At 41.2% G+C, this 23,279-nt stretch overlaps 1 protein-coding gene across 4 annotated transcripts in view; it reads right to left on the reverse strand.

Annotated features, from left to right (window-relative positions):
* ZNF704 (zinc finger protein 704) overlaps positions 1 to 23,279 on the reverse strand; it is a 255,969-nt gene that overhangs the window by 21,072 nt on the left and 211,618 nt on the right. For all 4 annotated transcript variants that reach the window (XR_928797.3, XM_017013725.2, NM_001033723.3 and 1 more), the window contains exons 5-7: positions 20,981 to 21,081; positions 15,293 to 15,560; positions 10,063 to 10,167 (exon numbers count right to left, since the gene is read on the reverse strand). Coding sequence is in view for 3 of the 4 variants with exons in the window: in XM_017013725.2 (XP_016869214.1) it covers positions 10,063 to 10,167; positions 15,293 to 15,560; positions 20,981 to 21,081 (474 nt within the window). In the remaining variant the exon portion in view is untranslated. The remainder of the gene's footprint in view (positions 1 to 10,062; positions 10,168 to 15,292; positions 15,561 to 20,980; positions 21,082 to 23,279) is intronic.

Below are 23,279 nucleotides of genomic sequence, written 5' to 3' on the forward strand. Positions count from 1 at the left end.
CACCTGGCTCGGAGGGTCCTACGCCCATGGAGCCTCACTCATTGCTACCACAGCAGTCTGAGATCAAACTGCAAGGTGGCAGTGAGGCTGGGGAGGGGCACCCGCCATTGCCGAGGCTTGAGTAGGTAAACAAAGCAGCCAGGAAGCTCGAACAGGGTGGAGCCCACCACAGCTCAAGGAGGCCTGCCTGCCTCTGTAGACTCCACCTCTGGGGGCAGGGCATAGCCAAACAAAAGGCAGCAGAAAACTTTGCAGACTTAAATGTCCCTGTCTGACAGCTTTGAAGAGAGCAGTGATTCTCCCAGCACGCAGCTGGAGATCTGAGGACGGACAGACTGCCTCCTCAAGTGGGTCCATGACCCCCGAGTAGCCTAACTGGGAGGCATCCCCCAGTAGGGGCAGACTGACACCTCACACGGCCGGGTACTTCTCTGAGACAAAACTTCCAGAGGAACGATCAGGCAGCAACATTTGCTGTTCACCAATAACCACTGTTCTGCAGCCTCCGCTGCTGATACCCAGGCAAACAGGGTCTGGAGTGGACCGCCAGCAAACTCCAACAGACCTGCAGCTGAGGGTCCTGACTGTTAGAAGGAAAACTAACAAACAGAAAGGACATCCACACCAAAACCCCATCTGTATATCACCATCATCAAAGACCAAAGGTAGATAAAACCACAAAGATGGGGAAAAAACAGCAGAAAAACTGGAAACTCTAAAAATCAGAGCGCCTCTCCTCCTCCAAAGGAACGCAGCGCAGCTACTCACCAGCAACGGAACAAAGCTGGATGGAAAATGACTTTGACAAGTTGAGAGAAGAAGGCTTCAGACGATCAAACTACTCCGAGCTAAAGGAGGAAGTTCGAACCCATGGCAAAGAAGTTAAAAACATTGAAAAAAATTTAGACGAATGGCTAACCAGAATAACCAATGCAGAGAAGTCCTTAAAGGACCTGTTGGAACTGAAAACCAAGGCGCAAGAACTACGTGACGAATGCACAAGCCTCAGTAGCTGATTCGATCAAGTGGAAGAAAGGGTATCAGTGATGGAAGATCAAATGAATGAAAGGAAGTGAGAAGAGAAGTTTAGACAAAAAAGAATAAAAAGAAATGAACAAAGCCTCCAAGAAATATGGGACTATGTGAAAAGACCAAATCTATGTCTGACTGGTGTACCCGAAAGTGACAGGGAGAATGGAACCAAGTTGGAAAACACTCTGCAGGATATTATCCAGGAGAACTTCCCCAATCTAGCAAGGCAGGCCAATATTCAAATTCAGGAAATACAGAGAATGCCACAAAGATACTCCTTGAGAAGAGCAACTCCAAGACACATAATTGTCAGATTCACCAAAGCTGAAATGAAGGAAAAAATATTAAGGGCAGCCAGAGAGAAAGGTTGGGTTACCCACAAAGGGAAGCCCATCGGACTAACAGCTGATCTCTCAGCAGAAACTATACAAGCCAGAAGAGAGTGGGGGCCAATATTCAACATTCTTAAAGAAAAGAATTTTCAACCCAGAAGTTCATATTCAGCCAAACTAAGCTTCATAAGTGAAGGAGAAATAAAATACTTTACAGACAAGCAAATGCTGAGAGATTTTGTCACCACCAGGCCTGCCCTAAAAGAGCTCCTGAAGGAAGTGCTAAACATGGAAAGGAACAACTGGTACCAGCCACTGCAAAAACATGCCAAATTGTAAAGACCATCGAGGCTAGGAAGAAACTGCATCAAGTAACGAGCAAAACAACCAGCTAACATCATAATGACAGGATCAAATTCACACATAACAATATTAACCTCAAATGTAAATGGGCTAAATGCTCCAATTAAAAGACACAGACTGGCAAATTGGATAAAGAGTCAAGACCCATCAGTGTGCTGTATTCAGGAAACCCATCTCATGTGCAGAGACACACATAGGCTCAAAATAAAGGGATGGAGAAAGATCTACCAAGCAAATGGAAAACAAAAAAAGGCAGGGGTTGCAACCCTGGTCTCTGATAAAACAGACTTTAAACCAACAAAGATCAAAAGAGACAAAGAAGGCCATTACATAATGGTGAAGGGATCAATTCAAGAAGAAGAGCTAACTATCCTAAATATATATGCACCCAATACAGGAGCAGCCAGATTCATAAAGCAAGTCCTTAGAGACCTACAAAGAGACTTAGACTCCCACACAATAATAATGGGAGACTTTAACACCCCACTGTCAACATTAGACAGATCAACGAGACAGAAAATTTACAAGGATATCCAGGAACTGAACTCAGCTCTGCACCAAGTGGACCTAATAGACATCTACAGAACTCTCCACCCCAAATCAACAGAATATACATTCTTCTCAGCACCACACCACACCTATTCCAAAATTGACCACATAGTTGGAAGTAAAGCACTCCTCAGCAAATGTAAAAGAACAGAAATTATAACAAACTGTCTCTCAGACCACAGTGCAATCAAACTAGAACTCAGGATTAAGAAACTCACTCAAAACCGCTCAACTACATGGAAACTGAACAACCTGCTCCTGAATGACTACTGGGTACATCACGAAATGAAGGCAGAAATAAAAATGTTCTTTGAAACCAATGAGAACAAAGACACAACATACCAGAATCTCTGGGTCACATTCAAAGCAGTGTGTAGAGGGAAATTTATAGCACTAAATGCCCACAAGAGAAAGCAGGAAAGATCTAAAATTGACACCCTAACATCACAATTAAAAGAACTAGAGAAGCAAGAGCAAACACATTCAAAAGCTAGCAGAAGGCAAGAAATAACTAAGATCAGAGCAGAACTGAAAGAAATAGAGACACAAAAAACCCTTCAAAAAATCAATGAATCCAGGAGCTGTTTTTTTTAAAAGATCAACAAAATTGATAGACTGCTAGCAAGACTAATAAAGAAGAAAAGAGAGAAGAATCAAATAGACGCAACAAAAAATGATAAAGGGGATATCACCACCGATCCCACAGAAATACAAACTACCATCAGAGAATACTATAAACACCTCTATGCAAATAAACTAGAAAATCTAGAAGAAATGGATAAATTCCTCGACACACACACCCTCCCAAGACTAAACCAGGAAGAAGTTGAATCTCTGAATAGACCAATAATAGGCTCTGAAATTCAGGCAATCATTAATAGCTTACCAACCAAAAAAAGTCCAGGACCAGATGGATTCACAGCCAAATTCTACCAGAGGTACAAGGAGGAGCTGGTACCATTCCTTCTGAAACTATTCCAATCAACAGAAAAAGAGGAAATCCTCCCTAACTCATTTTATGAGGCCAACATCATCCTGATACCAAAGCCTGGCAGAGACACAACAAAAAAAGAGAATTTTAGACCAATATCCCTGATGAACATTGATGCAAAAATCCTTAATAAAATACTGGCAAACCAAATCCAGCAGCACATCAAAAAGCTTATCCACCATGATCAAGTGGGCTTCATCCCTGGGATGCAAGGCTGGTTCAACATACACAAATCAATAAACGTAATCCAGCATATAAACAGAACCAAAGACAAAAACCACATGATTATCTCAATAGATGCAGAAAAGGCCTTCGACAAAATTCAACAACCCTTCATGCTAAAAACTCTCAATAAATTAGGTATTGATGGGACATATCTCAAAATAATAAGAGCTATCTATGGCAAACCCATAGCCAATATCATACTGAATGGGCAAAAACTGGAAGCATTCCCTTTGAAAACTGGCACAAGACAGGGATGCCCTCTCTCACCACTCCTATTCAACATAGTGTTGGAAGTTCTGGCCAGGGCAATCAGGCAGGAGAAGGAAATAAAGGGTATTCAATTAGGAAAAGAGGAAGTCAAATTGCCCCTGTTTGCAGATGACATGATTGTATATCTAGAAAACCCCATAGTCTCAGCCCAAAATCTCCTTAAGCTGATAAGTAACTTCAGCAAAGTCTCAGGATACAAAATCAATGTGCAAAAATCACAAGCATTCTTATAACCAATTATAAGCATTCTTAAAACCAATAACAGACAAACAGAGAGCCAAATCATGAGTGAACTCCCATTCACAATTGCTTCAAAGAGAATAAAATACCTAGGAATCCAACTTACAAGGGATGCGAAGGACCTCTTCAAGGAGAACTACAAACCACTGCTCAATGAAATAAAAGAGGATACAAACAAATGGAAGAACATTCCATGCTCATGGATAGGAAGAATCAATATCGTGAAAATGGCCATACTGCCCAAGGTAATTCATAGATTCAATGTCATCCCCATCAAGCTACCAATGACTTTCTTCACGAATCGGAAAAAACTACTTTAAAGTTCATATGGAACCAAAAAAGAGCCCGCATTGCCAAGTCAATCCTAAGCCAAAAGAACAAAGCTGGAGGCATCACGCTACCTGACTTCAAACTATACTACAAGGCTACAGTAACCAAAATAGCATGGTAATGGTACCAAAACAGAGATATAGACCAATGGAACAGAACGGAGCCCTCAGAAATAATGCCACATATCTACAATTATCTGATCTTTGACAAACCTGACAAAAACAAGAAATGGGGAAAGGATTCCCTATTTAATAAATGGTGCTGGGAAAACTGGCTAGCCATATGTAGAAAGCTGAAACTGGATCCCTTCCTTACACCTTATACAAAAATTAATTCAAGATGGATTAAAGACTTAAATGTTAGACCTAAAACCATAAAAACCCTAGAAGAAAACCTAGGCAGTACCATTCAGGACATAGGCATGGACAAGGACTTCATGTCTAAAACACCAAAAGCAATGGCAACAAAAGCCAAAATTGACAAATGGGATCTAATTAAACTAAAGAGCTTCTGCACAGCAAAAGAAACTACCATCAGAGTGAACAGGCAACCTACAGAATGGGAGAAAATTTTTGCAATTTACTCATCTGACAAAGGGCTAATATCCAGAATCTACAATGAACTCCAACAAATTTACAAGAAAAAAACAAACAACCCCATCAAAAAGTGGGCGAAGGATATGAACAGACACTTCTCAAAAGAAGACATTTATGCGGCCAAAAGACACATGAAAAAATGTTCATCATCACTGGCCATCAGAGAAATGCAAATCAAAACCACAATGAGATACCATCTCACATCAGTTAGAATGGTGATCATTAAAAAGTCAGGAAACAACAGGTGCTGGAGAGGATGTGGAGAAACAGGAACACTTTTACACTGTTGGTGGGACTGTAAACTAGTTCAACCATTGTGGAAGTCAGTGTAGCGATTCCTCAGGGATCTAGAACTAGAAATACCATTTGACCCAGCCATCCCATTACTGGGTATATACCCAAAGGAGTATAAATCATGCTGCTATAAAGACACATGCACACGTATGTTTATTTGGACACTATTCACAATAGCAAAGACTTGGAACCAACCCAAATGTCCAACAATGAAAGACTGGATTAAGAAAATGTGGCACATATACACCATGGAATACTATGCAGCCATAAAAAATGATGAGTTCATGTCCTTTGTAGGGACATGGATGAAGCTGGAAACCATCATTCTCAGCAAACTATCGCAAAGACAAAAAACCAAACGCTGCATGTTCTCACTCATAGATGGGAATTGAACAATGAGAATACATGGACACAGGAAGGGGAACATCACACACCAGGGCCTGTTGTGGGGGGCGGGGGAGGGATAGCATTAGGAGACATATCTAATGTTAAATGAAGAGTTAATGGGTGCAGCACACCAACATGGCACATGTATACATATGTAACAAACCTGCACGTTGGGCACATGTACCCTAAAACTTTAATTTAAAAAAAAGAACAAAAACAAAACGTATTTGGAAAGTTCCCAGTATAAAAAAAAAAAGAATTTTAAATTATAGTCTGTAAAAATTGTGACTAATCTCTCCCATGTGTTGAGTATATCTGTGTTACAGGAATCAATCCTAAATAGGGAGGAGCCGCTTTCTCTGACCCATTATACAGTGCTTAGACACAGTAAAGGCAGCAATGATGGTAGGAAATCTGCATTGTCAGCTACATGCCAGGCACTGTGTGAACGACACAACTCTAAGAGGTAGAACTAGAGTAGAGGATATTACTTTAGAAGGATCACATGGCGTTCACAAATGCCAGAGCCAGGATTTGCAAGTAAGCCTCACACTAAAGATGCTGTGCCCTTCTGTAAGTATGCAGGAGAAATTTCTTTTCTTGTAAGTTTTTCTCTTAAGAGGGAGGAAAAAAAGGCCTCTGGCTTGGTTTTAACCTCATATAATTCTGAATCTTCCCTCAAGGCATTAAAAAAGAAACCTCAAACCAGCTAAGCATTTGACAAATAAGCACTGCTATTTCAGCTTTGGAGACCCTCCCCAACAGCCTGAAGCCTCCTAGAACTTGGATAGCAGGTTGACTAGCTTATACTTGCTTTCCTAGGGGCTGTTATAGATCGAATGTTTGTGTCCCTCAAATTCATATGATAAAGCTCTAATCCCCAGTGTGGTTGTATTTGGACATAGGGCCTTTAAGGAGGTCATAAGGGTGGGGCCCTGACCCAACAGGATTAGTGTCCTTTAAGAAGGGATAGCAGAGGCTGGTGCATTCCTCCATGCTTGCTCTCCCTGGCTTGCCAGTGCCCTGGCATGTGCTTGTGCTCTCTCTCTCGATTTCTCTCTCTCTCTCTTTCTCTCTCGACTGTGCATGCACAGTGAGAAGGCAGCCATCTACAAGCAGGAAGGGGTCTTCACCAGAACTGAATTGGCCGACACGTTGATTTGGACTTCTAGCCTCTAGAACTGTGAGAAAATAAATTTCTGTTGTTTAAGCTGCCAAGTCTGTGGTATTTTATGGCAGTCTTGAGCTGATTAATAAAGGGGCCAACGGCTCTTAGTTTTCTGTCATGAAAAGAGAGAGAAAGAAATGGAGATAATTAGGAGAGAAGGCAGGTCATTAGGGAAAAACATGTCAAAGAAAGTTGTAATTAAGGATGTTCTCTTTCCTACCCCTCTCCCCACAGCCTTAGGCTACAAAAGACTGAACTTCCAGTTACATTTGTTAAATATGCAGTTCAGCCTTCTCAGCTACACACCTCCGGGAAGAGGTCTTACCCAGGGAACTTATTAAAGTCCAATGTTCAGGAAATCTAGCATAGGCAAATGAATAAATAAAATCCTGCAACCCTTGGGATTTTTCAGAAAGGGGTTTTTCTCACTTTCTAGGAAGTGTACAAAAGTATCCCTCTTCAATACCACGTCTCAAAGATGTGGGAGAAAAGTGAACTCTAAACAGGGTTGACAACCTCAGGGTATTTATTTTAGAGTACAAGGATAAAGGTATTTTTTTTTTGAAAAGCATTTTATCACATGAATATTTCTCTGTTCTTCAGTTTGGACACAATTGAAGCCATCACTAATACAAATTCATTATAACTTACAACTTTTAGAGCTTTGGTCTGAAAACCCTATTACACCAATTTAGAGGGTAAGAATTCACGTTTTTAAATTCTACGTGGCTTGCCTGGCACTCCTGGAGCATTCAGGGACAGCTGCTGGCATGCTGTCCGTGGGTGTACAACAGTCCTGCATCTGTGTGGGTGGGCTGTTATGAGAGCTAGCCCACCAGGAGAAGGAGGAGGAGGAGGACAGCAGCACCTGCTTGTTTTTTTTAGAGCATGGCCAGAGAGTTTAGCAACAAAAAGAACATTCTTAGTTGTAGCCTTCTTGTCTTTCTAGGGTAAAACAAAAACCTTTGAAAATTCCACCCCACCCTTACTTTATCTTTAAATAGGAATGGCAAGCTTGACTGCTAAAATCAGTCTAAAGTCTTTGCTGAAACAGGTTACACAATCAGCACAATTGGGAATTCTCTGGTGAAAGAATAAATTAGAAGCTCTCAGCTGGGCGCAGTGGCTCAAGCCTGTAATCCCAGCACTTTGGGAGGCTGAGGTGGGCAGATTGCTTGAGCTCAGGAGTTCAAGACCAGCCTGGGCAACATGGGAAACCCCCGTATCTACTAAAAATACAAAAATTAGCCAGGTGTGATGGTGTGCTTCTGTAGTCCCAGCTACTCAGGAGGCTGAAGTGGGGAAGATGAGCCCAGGGAGGTTGAGGCTGCAGTGAGCCGTGATGGCACCACTGCACTCTAAGCCTGGGTCATGGACTGAGACCCTGTTTCAAGAAAAAAAAAAAAAAAAAGCTCACATAGGATTTTAGTGGAATACCTACTTAACCCAGCTATGGTATGTTTTATATATCATATATACGGAATGTTTTATATATCGTATATATGGTATGTTTTATATATCATATATATACTTTCTGTCAAAGCTTTTGTCTAGAATGTCCCAGGTAATCAACACAGAGTGAAATGAGGGATTCTGTAAAAAATCAAGGGCACTGAGATGAGGGTAGAAATACACAGTGTCCATAGCAGAGTTTTAACATTCTATTGTTGAAAAACGAGTGATATAAGGTATCCTGGCTGGTATCCTAGTGTGTAAGACACATAAGAACCATGGAGGACATGGAGCTAGTAAAGAGCCCCTCAGAGTGATTTCCCTATACTTCAGAAGATAATTTAGTTAGAAAAGCAAAGGGGAAAAACATTCCAGTTTGCTTGGCCACAGAGGTAGTCTGAAAGAGGTTTGAACTGGGCTGTTCCATCTACATGCTATAGTACCAGATGAGCAACATGGTGTATGCTTCCCATACATCATTGAAAATTCTTCCCAAGTCAAAGGCAGGAATTAATAGGATGCAGAAAAGATGGTCTCAATAATTCTGTAACTGTGGCTGCCATTTTAGGTTAATACAGAGTGGCTGTCTCAAAAATGTATCAAGAGCCACTCTGGGTCTTTTTATGTCTACCAAAAAAAAAAAAAAGTCCCCAAACAGATTGTTAACCCCTGACACCTACATCAGTGGATCAGTGTTCTTGCCAGAAGCAAAACTAATACCAACACGTCTAAGCTGCCCTCTTCTAACGTCTACTAACAAGGTCACTCTTGCAGAGCTACCAGAAGTTACCACTATTCAATGAAAATACAACTTTAAAAATGACTTCAGACCCATGGTGTTGTTTACAAATCACATTCCCAGAGTCTTTTCTGGAAGCCACCATTTCCCAAATTGCCTCTAGCAGTATGCTTTTTATTCTTGGCTATTCCTCTATGGAATTTAATAAATATTCATCAACAGAGCACAGCACAATTCATTCAGCCACTTTCATTTTTATCAGTTCCACAGAAGGCGTTAGACTTTGCTGGAAACCTCCGGGAGATGCCAGTGGTTGACAATAAGAAGCTTTTGTGAGGTCCTTGGGGAGACGGGTGGAGAAGAGAAAATAAGGTTAATATCTGTTATCATAAGCCACTTCCTGAACCTTATCAGGAGTTATACACCACTGTGAGCATCAACAGTGTGCATGCATGTGGCTGTTCTGTGATAAACTATAAAAGATCCAATATATTTTTTAAATGAATGGTTAGGAATCAAGTTAATTCACAGTGATTTATCAGACAGGAATCATTTAATATGTCAAATCAATTCTTATGTACTACTTAAGTCTGATTGCATATTTTAGCACTCATTTAGTTTCAGATTATCCATCAGCATGGATTATTCAGACTCTGAAAGAAAAAATGATTTTGATGTATTTTTTGAGCCTTCAAAATGACATACGTACAGAACACTTCCTAAGTAATAAATTTTATAGTTACTTATAATGATAAACACCATTTTTTCCATATAAGATCTGAGTTCAGCTATTAATTTTACAGTCTTTTGGAAACATACAAACACACTACCAACACACAAAAAATCTTGATATATTTCCAACAAGTTGTTTATGAACAGTTGAAACTCTCTTATAGTTTTCTGAAATGCCAGTCAAAACACCTTTTCGAAAAGAAGTGATATCTGCTGATGAGTTTACAAATATCATTTAAGAAATATAGTACTTCTGGCATTCTGATGTTTGTATTTTTCTTGCATGCCTCTACTATTTGTTCGCTAAATTTAGTCTACATTGGCTTTGACCAGATTTTTGGCTTTTTCGTTTTTCTACTTACTGGGATGCCTGTGAAAGTGACCGGAGGAGATTGCCAGGAAATGCTGAAGCTGCTGCCATTGGGGGTGAACTTGGCCGATCCTGGAATGGTCACAGGGGGTGTGGCCTGTCAAATAAAAAACAGAGAAAGCTGTTATGAAGGAATATTTTCCTTCGGAGCTTTAAGCTCTTATTACCAAAGGAGGACCTCAGAAATGGTCTCAGCTATATTAATAACTTGGACTAATTATCTAATAGGAAGAGATTAAACAAGGTTAAAGGGAGTAGCCAGAAATAAACTTTGTATATATACCTAAGCAAGCTATCTAAGGTATAAAAAGAGATGGTTTTTGACTGTTGATTTCTGAAAAGAAATTTTATTATATGTACATATACCTATTTTAGGATACCTGTGAGGTAGAATTCTTCACTATAAAATTGGGGAATACACCCTGCTATACTGTGAGGGTGGGTGTGAACTAGTACAATGTTCTTGGAAGGTAATTTGACAATACATATAAAAATTCTTAGCATTCTCTGTGTTAGCTATTCCACTCTAGGCATTCATTCTAAAGAAATGTACGCAAGAATGTTCCTTGCACAACTATATATTATAAAAAACAATTGGGGCTGGGCGTGGTGGCTCATGCCTGTAATCCCAGCACTTAAGAGTCAGAAGCAGGAGGATCGCTTGAGCCCAGAGTTTGAGACCAGCGAGGGCAACACAGTGAGACTTCGTCTCTACTAAAATTAAAAAAAATTAGCCAGGGGTGGTGGAGTGTATCTGTAGTTCTAGCTACTTTGGAGATGGAGGCAGGAAGATTATGTGAGCCCAGGAGTTCGAGGTTGCAGTGAACTATGATCATGCCACTGCACTCCAGCCTGACAACAGAGTGAAATCTTGTCTCAAAAAAAAAAAAAAAAACCTGGAAATAACACAAATGCCCAGTAATAGGGAAAAAGGTAAATAAATCATGATATACCTACAGAGTAATTCAAAATGTTGTTAAAATGGCATAAAAACAGACACATATACCAATGGAGCAAAACAGGGAACCAAGAAATAAGTCCACATATTTACAACCAACTGATTTTTGACCAAGGCGATGAGAACATACACTGGGGAAAGGACATCCTCTTCAATAAATGCTGCTGGGAAAACTGGATATCCACGTGCAGAAACATGAAACTAGACCCCTAGCTCTTGTCATTTACAAACATCCACTCAAAATGGATTAAAAACTTAAATGTAAGATCCTAAACTATAAAACTACTGGAAGAAAACACAAGAAAAACACTCTAGGACATGGGCCCAGGCAAATATTTTTATGGCTAAGACTTCAAAAGCACAAGAAACAAACAAACAAACAAAATAGACAAATGTGACTATATTAAACTAAAAAGCTTCTGCACGGCACAAGAAACAATCAACAGCGTGAAGAGCAACCTGTTGAATGTGAGAAAATATCCACAAACTATTCATCTGACAAGAGACTACTATCCAGAATATACAATGAATTCAAACAACTCAATAGCAAAAACCAAATAATTCCATTAAAAAGTGGGCAAAGGACCTGAATAAAAATTTTTCAAAAGCACACATACAAATGACCAATAGGTACATGAAAAAATGCTCAACGTCACTAATATCAGAAAAATGTGTATCAAAACCACAATGAAGTATCGTCTCACCCTAGTTAGATTGGCTATTATTAAAAAGACAAAAAATAACAGATGCTGGTGAGGAAGCAGAGAAAAGGGATCTTTTATATACTGTTGGTAAGAATGTAAATTAATACACCTATTATGGAAAACAGTATGGAGATTTCTCAAAATCTAAAAACAGAACTACCATATAATCCAGCAATCTCACTACTGGGTATTTATCTAAAGGAAAGGAAATCAGCCTATCAAAGGGACACCTGCACTCTCATGTTTATTGCAGCACTATTCACAATAGCAAAGATAATATGGAATCAACCTAAGTGTCCATCAACAGATGAAGTGTCAAAATGTGGTAAGAACACAATGGAGTACTATTCAGCCATTAAAAAGAATGATATCCTGTCATTTTCAGCCATATGAATGGAACTAGAGGTCACTATGTAAGTGAAATAAGCTAGGCACTTGAAGATAAACATCACATGTTCTCACTCATATGTGGGAAATACAATAATTGATGTCATGGAGGTAGAGAATAAAATGATAGTTACAGGAGATGGGGAAGGGTGTGATGGGACAAGGTAGGGAGAGATGTTGGTTAGTAGGTACAAACATACAGTTAGATAGAAAGAATGAGTACTAATGTTTGATAGCAGAGTAGGATGGCTATAGCTAACAACAATGTATTTTATATTTCAAAATACCTAGAAGAGAGGACTGGAAATGTTCCCAACACACAGAAATGATAAATACACAAGGCGATTAATATTCAAAATACCCTGACTTGACTGTTACACATCCTATGCATATAACAAAATGTTCTGTGTACCCCACAAATACGTATAAATATTAGGCATCAATTTTTAAAATACTGTTGTTGAAGAAGATTCATTGGCATGGGAAAATGTTCATGATATATTAAATAGAAAAAATAAAATACAGTAAAAACAGTTCTGCAACAGATCCCTTTTAAAAACTGCAAATGTATAAACACAGAACAAAGTCTTGAAGTACATACAAAAAATATTAACTAAGGTTTGGAATTAGGGATGAATTTTCTTTCTTTACTGTGTTTAATATTTTCTATGCTGAACATTTATAATTTCTATAAACAGAAAAGTCTCAATATTTCTAAGTTTATGCTTTGGGAAGGACCTTGTAGATCAACTAGTGTGTGTTCCAACTCTCTCATTATATAGATGAGCAAAATGATTTAACTAAGTTAGTACCCAGGATTTCTGACCTAAGTGAAACAGTGATAAATGAAGATGAATGAATTATTCGTTTTGACCAACATAATAAGAGTCAGGAATGAAATTTATTACACTAACTAATTCAAATATTAGCTCTATTCAATTACTCTTGAGTTTAAGTCTGCTAAATAAGTGGCTAAATTTTTCCTCTATAGGTGTAATTTTCTAATTACAAATATATTTGCTAGTGGCAGTGGCTTTGTACTTGGTACCACTGGAAAGCATTCTGGCAATACATAGTAAGAGCCATAAACTGTTCCCTCATATTACATCCTCGGACTCAATAATTATTCTTCTGAGAATTTAAACAAAAAACAAAACACAGCAGGCACAGAGATGTTTACAGTGGAGTTATTAATGACGAAAAAACAGGATAGATTAAAAAGTAAATACCTAACAATAAGAATGATTAAAACAATTTGGTGTTTCAATTTAATTGGATATTATTTAGTTACATGAAAAGTTTTTATAAAACAAGGGTGGGAGAACATAATTACAAGTATGTAAAGGAGATTTTAAAAAGTTGAATAAGGTAGTTGAGAATTATGTGAAAAATATTTTCTTAAAATTTGAATGTATTAACATTGTATAAAAACAAATCAACATTTAAAAGAATTAATGGCCAGGCATGGTGGCTCAAGCCTATAATCCTAGCATGTTGGGAGGCCAACATGGGAGGACTGCTTGAAGACAGGAGTTCGAGACCAGCCTGGGCAATGTAGTGAGAGCTCGTCTCTACAAAAAATTTAAAAAATTAGCTGGATGTGGTAGTGCACACCTGTAGTCCCAGCTGCTTGGGAAGCTGAGGCAGGAGGATTGCTTGAGCCCAGGAGTTCGAGGCTGCAGTGAATTGCACTCCAGCCTGAGAGAAAGATAGAGACCCTGTCTCAAAAAAAAAAAAAAAAAGTAACTTCTGGCAGGAAAAAAGGGAGTTTTACCCATGTCCTAAATTTGCAGGATTTGTCCCTAAGGTCTTCTCAGACTTTAGCATGACTCAGGATTCCCTGGAGGGCCTGTTAAAACAGAATGCAGGGTTGGTGGGGGGCACAGAGGAGGGTGTGGAAGAGGGGTGGTCCCAAGAATTTTCATTTCTAACAAGTTCCCAGGTGATGCTGGCACTGTTGATTTGGGGAACATTGAGAACGACTACTCTAATCTGAAATGCTTAATTATCCATTTAGAAGGCAGGGCATGAAGTCCCGGATTTGGAGTGTGATTCTGCCACTGTGCCAAAGCTTTCCAATGCTTACATTTTATTTATTTTTTTGAGACAGGGTCTTACTCTGTCACCCAGGCTGGAGTGCAGTGCCATGATCACAGCTCACTGCAGCCTCAAACTCCCTGGGCTCAGGTGATCCTCCCACACCTCAGCCTCCCAAGTAGCTGGGACTACAGGTACGCACCACCATGCCTGGCTAATTTTTGTATTTTTTGTAGATATGGGGGTCTCACCATGTTGCCCACGCTGGTCTCGAACTCCTGAGTTCAAGCAATCCACTTGCCTCAGCCTCCCAAAGTTCTGGGATTACAGGTGTGAGCCACTGTGCCCGGCCTTATTTTTTTTTTAAACAGATACTTATGTAATGTGCCAGGCACCATTTTGAGGGCTTTGCAACATTAGGGATTTTTTTTGTTTTTGAAACAGAGTCTCGCTCTGTCGCCAGGCTGGAGTACAGTGGTGCGATCTTGGCTCACTGCAACCTCCGTCTCTCGGGTTCAAGCAATTCTCCCGCCTCAGCCTCCCAAGTAGCTGGGACTACAGGCACACGCCACCATGCCCAGATAACATTAGGGATTTTTTTTTTTTTTTTTTGAGACAGAGTTTTTCTTGTTGCCCAGGCTGGAGTGCAATGGTGGGATCTCGGCTCACCGCAACCTCTGCCTCCTGGGTTCAAGTGATTCTCCTGCCTCAGCCTCCTCAGTAGCTGGGATTACAGGCATGTGCCACCACACCCAGCTAATTTTGTATTTTTAGTAGAGATGGGGTTTCACCATGTTGGTCAGGCTGGTCTCGAACTCCCGACCTCAGGTGATCCGCCCGCCTCAGCCTCCCAGAGTGTTTGGGATTACAGGCGTGAGCCACTGTGCCCAAGGGATTTTTATCATCATAACAATCTCTACGGGATCGAATCCACAGGCAGCATTGGGCAATCTGAGACTAGACCATAGGACCCTATCTGTGTGAGATCTTAGGCTTTAAAGGGAGAAAAATCAAAGCTACCGGGCTGCCGTGTGTGATGCTGTTTTTCCACTGAGTTGTCTTTTACTCATAGGCCAGATGGCCCCTGGTTTTGGTCAAGGTCAAAGTGATTGCTCTCACAGTCCCCTGCAAGTCACCTGGTAAGCATGGTCAGTGTGCACGAGGTAGAGGGTGGTGGGAGCTGAGCGGCTCAACGGCGTCATCAACTTAGTCTCCGTTTTGGCACAAGGAGTTTCTGTTCGGCTTGAATCTGGGATGGGGAAAGTAGGAGGTGAAGCCAGGGACTGGGAAGGTGAGACCGGGGCCAGGCTGCTCAGCCCGTCTGCCACTGAGTCTGTGTTGAGCTTGATCTCAGTGTAGTAAAAGTCCTCTTCTCCATCACTGTAGTCAGAGTCTCCAACGCGCCTAATGCAAAAGAGAGTAAAACAATCATACTAAGCCAATCTGTTTTCTTGCCTTGAAATCTTGCACATGCATTTCCCCTCTGTCTGGAATGCTTTTCCTCCCTCTTGTTTGCCTTGCAAACTCTTCCTTATCCTGCAGCACTCAGTTCAACTGTCCACTTCCAGGGAACCCTTCCTTGATGTCTTAAAGCAATTCATTAATTCATTCACTCATTCAATCAATTATTCAACAACGATTTATTGAGAATCTAATATGTTCAGGCACTGTTCCAGGGTCTCCTGATAACACAGTGAATAAAATATAGACTCCGCCCTGATGGAACTTATAGTGGGAACTTACAGGCAGACAAGAAACCCCTAAAGAAACAGATATTAAGTGGAAGCTAAATAATGTGTATACATGGACACAGAAAGTGAAATAATAGACATTAGAGACTTCGAAACGGGGAGGGTGGGAGGGAGGTGAGGGATGAGAAATGACTTAAGGGGTACCACGTTCACTATTTGGATGCTGGTTACACTAAAAGCCCAGGCTTTATCACTGTGCAACACAGCCATGTAACAAAACTGCACTTGTACCCCCCCATTCAACCTCTGAAAACAGAGATTTAAAAAATTAAAAAATAATTTAAAAAATAGATATTTAATATATCAGGTGTTACTAAGTCCCAGAAAGAAAAATTCAACAGCATAACAGTGTTGTTAAGCAGGATTAGTAATGCGGGCACTATTTTATTTTATTTTATTTTATTTTTTTTTCATGATTGTAAGTTTCCTGAGACCTCCTCAGCCATACTTCCTGCACAGCCTGTGAACCATGAGCCAATTAAACCTTTTTTCTTTATAAATTACCCAGTCTCAGATAGTTCTTTATTTTTTATTTATTTATTTTTTTATTATACTTTAAGTTTTAGGGTACATGTGCACATTGTGCAGGTTAGTTACATATGTATACATGTGCCGTGCTGGTGCGCTGCACCCACTAACTCGTCATCTAGCATTAGGTATATCTCCCAACGCTATCCCTTCCCCCGCCCCCCACCCCACCACAGTCCCCAGAGTGTGATATTCCCCTTCCTGTGTCCATGTGATCTCATTGTTCAATTCCCACCTATGAGTGAGAATATGCAGTGTTTGGTTTTTTGTTCTTGCGATAGTTTACTGAGAATGATGATTTCCAATTTCATCCATGTCCCTACAAAGGACATGAACTCATCATTTTTTATGGCTGCATAGTATTCCATGGTGTATATGTGCCACATTTTCTTAATCCAGTCTATCATTGTTGGACATTTGGGTTTATTCCAAGTCTTTGCTATTGTGAATAATGCCGCAATAAACATACGTGTGCATGTGTCTTTATAGCAGCATGATTTATAGTCATTTGGGTATATACCCAGTAATGGGATGGCTGGGTCAAATGGTATTTCTAGTTCTAGATCCCTGAGGAATCGCCACACTGACTTCCACAATGGTTGAACTAGTTTACAGTCCCACCAACAGTGTAAAAGTGTTCCTGTTTCTCCACATCCTCTCCAGCACCTGTTGTTTCCTGACTCTTTAATGACTGCCATTCTAACTGGTGTGAGATGGTATCTCATTGTGGTTTTGATTTGCATTTCTCTGATGGCCAGTGATGATGAGCATTTTTTCATGTGTTTTTTGGCTGCATAAATGTCTTCTTTTGAGAAGTGTCTGTTCATGTCCTTCGCCCACTTTTTGATGGGGTTGTTTGTTTTTTTCTTGTAAATTTGTTGGAGTTCATTGTAGATTCTGGATATTAGCCCTTTGTCAGATGAGTAGGTTGCGAAAATTTTCTCCCATTTTGTAGGTTGCCTGTTCACTCTGATGGTAGTTTCTTTTGCTGTGCAGAAGCTCTTTATTTTAATTAGATCCCATTTGTCAATTTTGTCTTTTAAAGAGAGTGGCCAGAGGAAGCCTCTCTGAGGAGGTGACGTTTGAGTAGAGACCTGCCTGGAGGAAGTGAGGGAGACACCATGCTGGCACCCGCAGTGAGAACACACCAGGGAGAAGTGACACACAGCTCTCAAGTGGGTGGGCCTGGCAGAGAGGCCAGAGGCTGGAGCTCGGGACCCCAGGGAGTGACGGGAGGAGTGAGAACAGGGCAGAGGCAAGGTCATCCAGGGCCTGCAGCCCACGGCGATGGCTTTGGCTTGCATTCTGAATGTGGTGGAAGCCACTGGGGGTTTTCAGAACTCTAACTTAATTTTAAAAGGATCACTCTGGATACTGTCTGGGAAATAGAGGACAGGAAGACAAAAGCAAAAGCAGACGCCACCAAGGAGCTGTTGTCAGCAATATTCCAGATGAGCAGGACAGGCAAGCAGTGCAAGGGCTGAGACGTTAAGTCCTGGGTGTATTCTGAAGGTTGGGAGTTAGGACTTCACTCCTAACTGTTAGTGCTCTGTGCTCCCTCTGAAGTGTGTTTACTCATCGTTTTGTTAATCACTGGCTACCTGTCTGTATTTTGTTAAACCTCTTTGTCGCTTCACTATGACTGATTCTCTAGGGATGTGTTTTGTTCATCATGTGTCACTCCACACACATCGGTGTATTTGGCAGAGGGTAGGTACCTAGCAAATGTTGCCTGAATGAATGAGTGAATGAATGGAGCTGACGTTGTTGTGGCACAGTGATTAAGAGAATGGATTCTGAGGTTAGACTTCCTAGGTTCAAACCCTGACTCCTACACATTCTAGTTGTGTGCATGATTTTGGTGGCCTACATATAGCCCCCGTTCCTCAGTTTCTCCACTTATAAAATGGGGATCATTAATTATAGTACCAGATTTTGTGATGATTAAGCTAATAAATATAGGGTGCTTAGAAGCAGATCTTACACAATATAAACACTACGTAAAATGCTTATTAAATAAAAAGAAAGATGATGTTAGAAGGTCTCAATTTTCACCATCACCAGGAAAAGTAGCTTCTTAGGTGTTTTCAAAGTTCCTCTCCCTGAAACATAGAACATTATACTTTTCCACAGAAAGTTTTGAGTAAAATAAAATAACTCCCTATAATGTCAGAAAATGTTTATTAGATAATTTGTGAGTTTGTAGAGAAGTGGTGCTTCTCTTCTCTAGAAACCTGGCTTTGGGGATGGCTGGGCAGAGGCCACGGGTGTCCCCTCACTGCAGCAGCAGCAGCAGATCCCTGACTCGGAACATACCTTTTCCCCACTAATGAGCCCTGCATAGAATCTAACATAAAATCCATGCCTCACCTCTTCACAGGCCTGTCTTTTTGTTCAAATCAGTGGCTTGTCCCAGCCTAGCTCCATTTCCCCTGAGCTCCCAGGCTGAGGCGCCTGGGGAGGTGTCTTTGTACCGTATCAGGTCTGGCAGGGCTTGGCCTTGTGACCAGCATACCATTAAAGACCCCAGAGAGTGGGAAGAAGAACGAGCATCTGTTCTATTCCTGTCCCCACTTCCTTTTCAGTTAAAGGCAGGTTGAGCTGCTGCTGGCTGCCAAGTGCTGCTAATAGACACATAGGCCTGGGGGACACTGCGTGTCCCACGTGGGGTTAAATCAGGACCAGCCCCTGGTGTACAAGAATGGAGTGAGATTGAAAAGTGTGTGCTTTTTATACAGGCATGGTGTGTACTGCAGACACATCAGAGGTGACGGCATATTTTCTTCTGGCTTTGACACGTTTCCCTCCTCATCCCCTCACCAGCTAATACTCATTAAAAATGCCCCATCATCCTACAGCCATGTAATTGAGTTCATGGATAAAGGCAAATGTATGTTCCCTCTCCCAGTGCATCAGAGAGCACAGGCCCCGGGCTTCATAAGCATAGATTAGCCTCAGAGTCCTGCTAACCCAGGCCCATTCCTGTACGGTGCCTGGCAGGGCTATGAACCATAATTCACCAGGGAAATTCTAAAAGCACATCAGGAAAAAGGGGATCCCAGGAAAGCAAAGTGGTTGCATGTTAGATTCCACCCACTGTGAGAGCACCCCAGGAACTCACAGGACTAACACGTGATACCAATTCCAGGGTCTATAAATACATATAAACAGCATATGCTTCTGATGGGACCGAATAGGACTCAATTTTCTGGGCAGACAGACTTTAAAACAAATACCCTACCTCCTGGCTCTAGCTTTGGGAAGTTCTTTCTAAACCTTTAAAAAAACTGAGCTGCTTACATTGTGAATTGTCTTGACGATGAGATTTCAGGGGAGACACTGCAGGATTTCCTTCCCTGAAGGCTTGAGGAGCAGAAGGAGGGTGTTCTTCCCTGAGGTATTTCAATTGGTATTTCTTACACATAAGGTAGACTCTGGCCAGGGAAGCCTTACCAGGTCCTATCTCCAGTGCTCTCCAGGCCATATGCTCTGGAAGGCTCTGGTGTGTCCCCAAACATCAGCCTGGATGATTAGAGAGCTAGATCCCTGTTTCTCTCCATGGTCACTATGGAGCCACCCTCATAGATTACCTTAGAAGCTATTTTCACCTTCTGCCTATATCACTTGTTGGGCATGAAGCATTTTCTAAATGTATCCCTTGCTGGGTAAAGTGACTGCTGCATTTATTTCTCTGCACTTATCTTGTGGAAAGGACTCCTCTGTGTCCAAGCACACAGGAGCCTGGCCGTGCATTTGTGTTTGCCTTATGAACACTGGTTCTGACTTACAGCCTCTCAAGGTCCCTTCTCAGATCCCTGGGCAAGATAGACTCAGGGCAAAAAGCACAAGACTGACGGAATACCACTGCCCCCCTGGGGTGACCTGTAACTGCTATGGCTCCTAAACCTTCATTTTATCTTTCCTTTAGAAGGCTGTTATATAATGAGGAAAAGTACAGATTTTACAAATAAATGGCTTATCTGAGCAACAGAAAGTGATTTCGTAAGAACAGCAACAGCAGCATCGATTGGTGTGGTGACTCTTGAACTCTTTTTAGGCTATATATGCTTGTGAGGCTTAAAGTCATGAATACTCTCCACTGGAAAATAAATGTACATTTCATTCCACAGGTAATTTCAGTGGGTTCAAGGACCCCTTGAAGTCCAATCACAGATTCCAGGTTACTCTAGTGTTTTGTACTTTAAAGTCTCTCTCACATACATTTTATCTTTGGCACTCACACTTGACCCTGAAGAGCTGACATTATTATAAATTTCCATAGGGAACTGGGGCTCAGGGCAGCAGCTTGCCTAAAGTGACTCAGTAAGTGAACTAATGAGGCTCTAGGATGTTATATCCTTGTTCTTTCCACTGTGCCATATTGGCTTAGATGATCTGCAGTGGCCATCTCTCTAGAGATTAGGAAGACCAAGCCAGCCCAGTGTCCAGAACCTTTAAGGCACAGTGTGGTGTGCAATTTCTGAGTGCGGGTGGCCCTAGACTGAGCAGATGGGGGCTGCATCCCTGAAGAGAGAGCTGCCTTACCCCAGATGGATGGTTCGGATGTGTTTCTGGATACCTGCTGCAGTGCTCAGCACCTTCCCACAGTTTTTCCAGAGGCATTTGAACATCACCTTCATGGAATTCTGTAAAGGGGAGAGAGTGATATTAGAATGGAAACTATTTTCTAACAACATTTTCTTTATGTCATCCCAACATATTTTTTTCCTTCATTAGAAAAGTAGCAGCATCCCCAGCCTCTTGACTATAACTCAGCACACTATTGTAGGCATCCCTAGGTTTGTGAGTATCTTGGTGACCTCAGTTATTTCCTCATATCCTTCAAGAGAAATGGGCTCTGCTGGAATATTTCAGATCATGTTCATGAAGGTAGTCACAGGGCCATTCTGGCTGTCTAAACAGTGGATAACATTCACTGAGCACTTACTATGTGCCAGGTGCTGTCTTAAGTGTTTATCTCCTTTAATCCTAAAAGACAGATACTAATATTAATCTCCATTTTACAGACGCATAGAAAGCTCCATAAAAAGTGTCCAGTCAATGAACCAGCTACTGGCAAAGTTGAAATACGAATCCAGGGACTCTGGCTCCAGAAACCATCCCCTCCACCAGTACAAAATTCCACCTCTTCAACAAGGGTCACAGTATTTTCTTTTCCTTTTTTTTCAGAGATGGGTCCCACTCTGTCACCCAGGCTGGAGTGCAGCGGCACAATCTTGGATCACTGCAGCCTCCGCCTCCTGGGCTCAAGAGATCCTCCCACGTTAGCCTCCCAAGTAGTTGGGACCATAGGTACATGCCACCATGCCTAGCTAATTTTTTGTATTTTTGGTAAAGACAGGGTTTTGCCATGTTGCCCAGGCTGCGGCAATATTTTCTAAAACAGTCCAGTGCCATGATTGAGAGCACTGATTTTGGGCTTATTTCTTGAGTTCTCAGTGCTCTTATTTATAAAATAGGAATAATAACAGTACCTGTTTCACAGCATTATTATGAGGATTAAATGACATCATGGAAGTGAATCAGTTAGCAGAATGCTGACAGGAATAACCATTCAACCAACAGCAGCTATTACAGGATTATTATGATTATGCATCCTAGAGTAAATTTTATAGAAAGTGAGTTTTCTCCAGGGAGGTCCCTTGTCCTTGGGATGCCACCTCTTTGCTGACTGTTCCCTTGGGTATGGTGACAGTCACTTCCATGTGTTCACCAAGCCCCATTTCCTTTTCCTGCTGGGTACACAGCTAGACCTTGATTCCCAGACTCCCTTGCAGTCAAATGGGATCACATCACTGAATTAGGGCTGATGGATGAGAAGTGACACACATTCCTTCTAAGCCTTGCCCCTCAACTACTTCCCAGTGTCACCCCCAGTCTGCTCTGCTGGCTAGATGCAAAGGACACAAAGGTCTTAGGGTATAGCAAAACCACCAGATCAGAGTTCTTAATTTTTTGTTTGCCATGAACCCTTTTGGCAGTCTGGTGAAACCTACGAATCCTTCTCAGAATAGTGGTTTTTAATGTTTAAAATAAAATACACAAAATTATAAAGAAATGCAAGTGTATTGAAATACAGCTAGAAAAAAACATTAAATATTTTGTAACCCCATTAAAAAGTGGTCAAAGGACATGAACAGACATTTCTCAAAGAAGACATACAAGTGGCCAAAAAAATAGGAAAAAGACGCTCAATATCACTAATCATCAGAGAAATGCAAATGAAAACCACAATGAGATACCATCTCACACCAGTCAGAATGGCTATTACCAAAATGTCAAAAAATAATACATGCTGGCGAGGCTGCAGAGAAACGAGGATGCATATACACTGGTGACGGGAGTGTGAATTAGTTCAGCCACTGTGGAAGGCAGTTTGGAGATTTCTCAAAGAACTAAAAATAGAAGTACCATTCGACCCAGCAATCCCATTACTGGGTGTATACCCAAAGGAAAATGAATCATTCTACCAAAAAGACCCATGTACTTGTATGTTCATCGCAGCACTATTCACAGTAGCAAAGACATGGAATCAACCTAGGTGTCAGTGTAATGAATAAATAAAATGTGTTACACATACATCATGGAGTACTACAAAGCCATGAAAAAGAATGAAATTATGTCCCTTGCAGCAAAATGGACGCAGCTGGAGGCCATTATCCTAAGTGAATTGATGCGGAAACAGAAAAGCAAATACTGCATGCTCTCACTTCTAAGTGGGAGCTAAACGATGGGTCCACATGGACATAAAGATGGAAATAACAGACACTGGGGACTACTAGAGGAGGGAAATAGGGAGTGGGGTAAGTGTTGAAAAACTATC

Source organism: Homo sapiens, chromosome 8 (assembly GCF_000001405.40).
Source record: "Homo sapiens chromosome 8, GRCh38.p14 Primary Assembly".
In the NCBI taxonomy this organism is placed as follows: domain Eukaryota; kingdom Metazoa; phylum Chordata; class Mammalia; order Primates; family Hominidae; genus Homo; species Homo sapiens.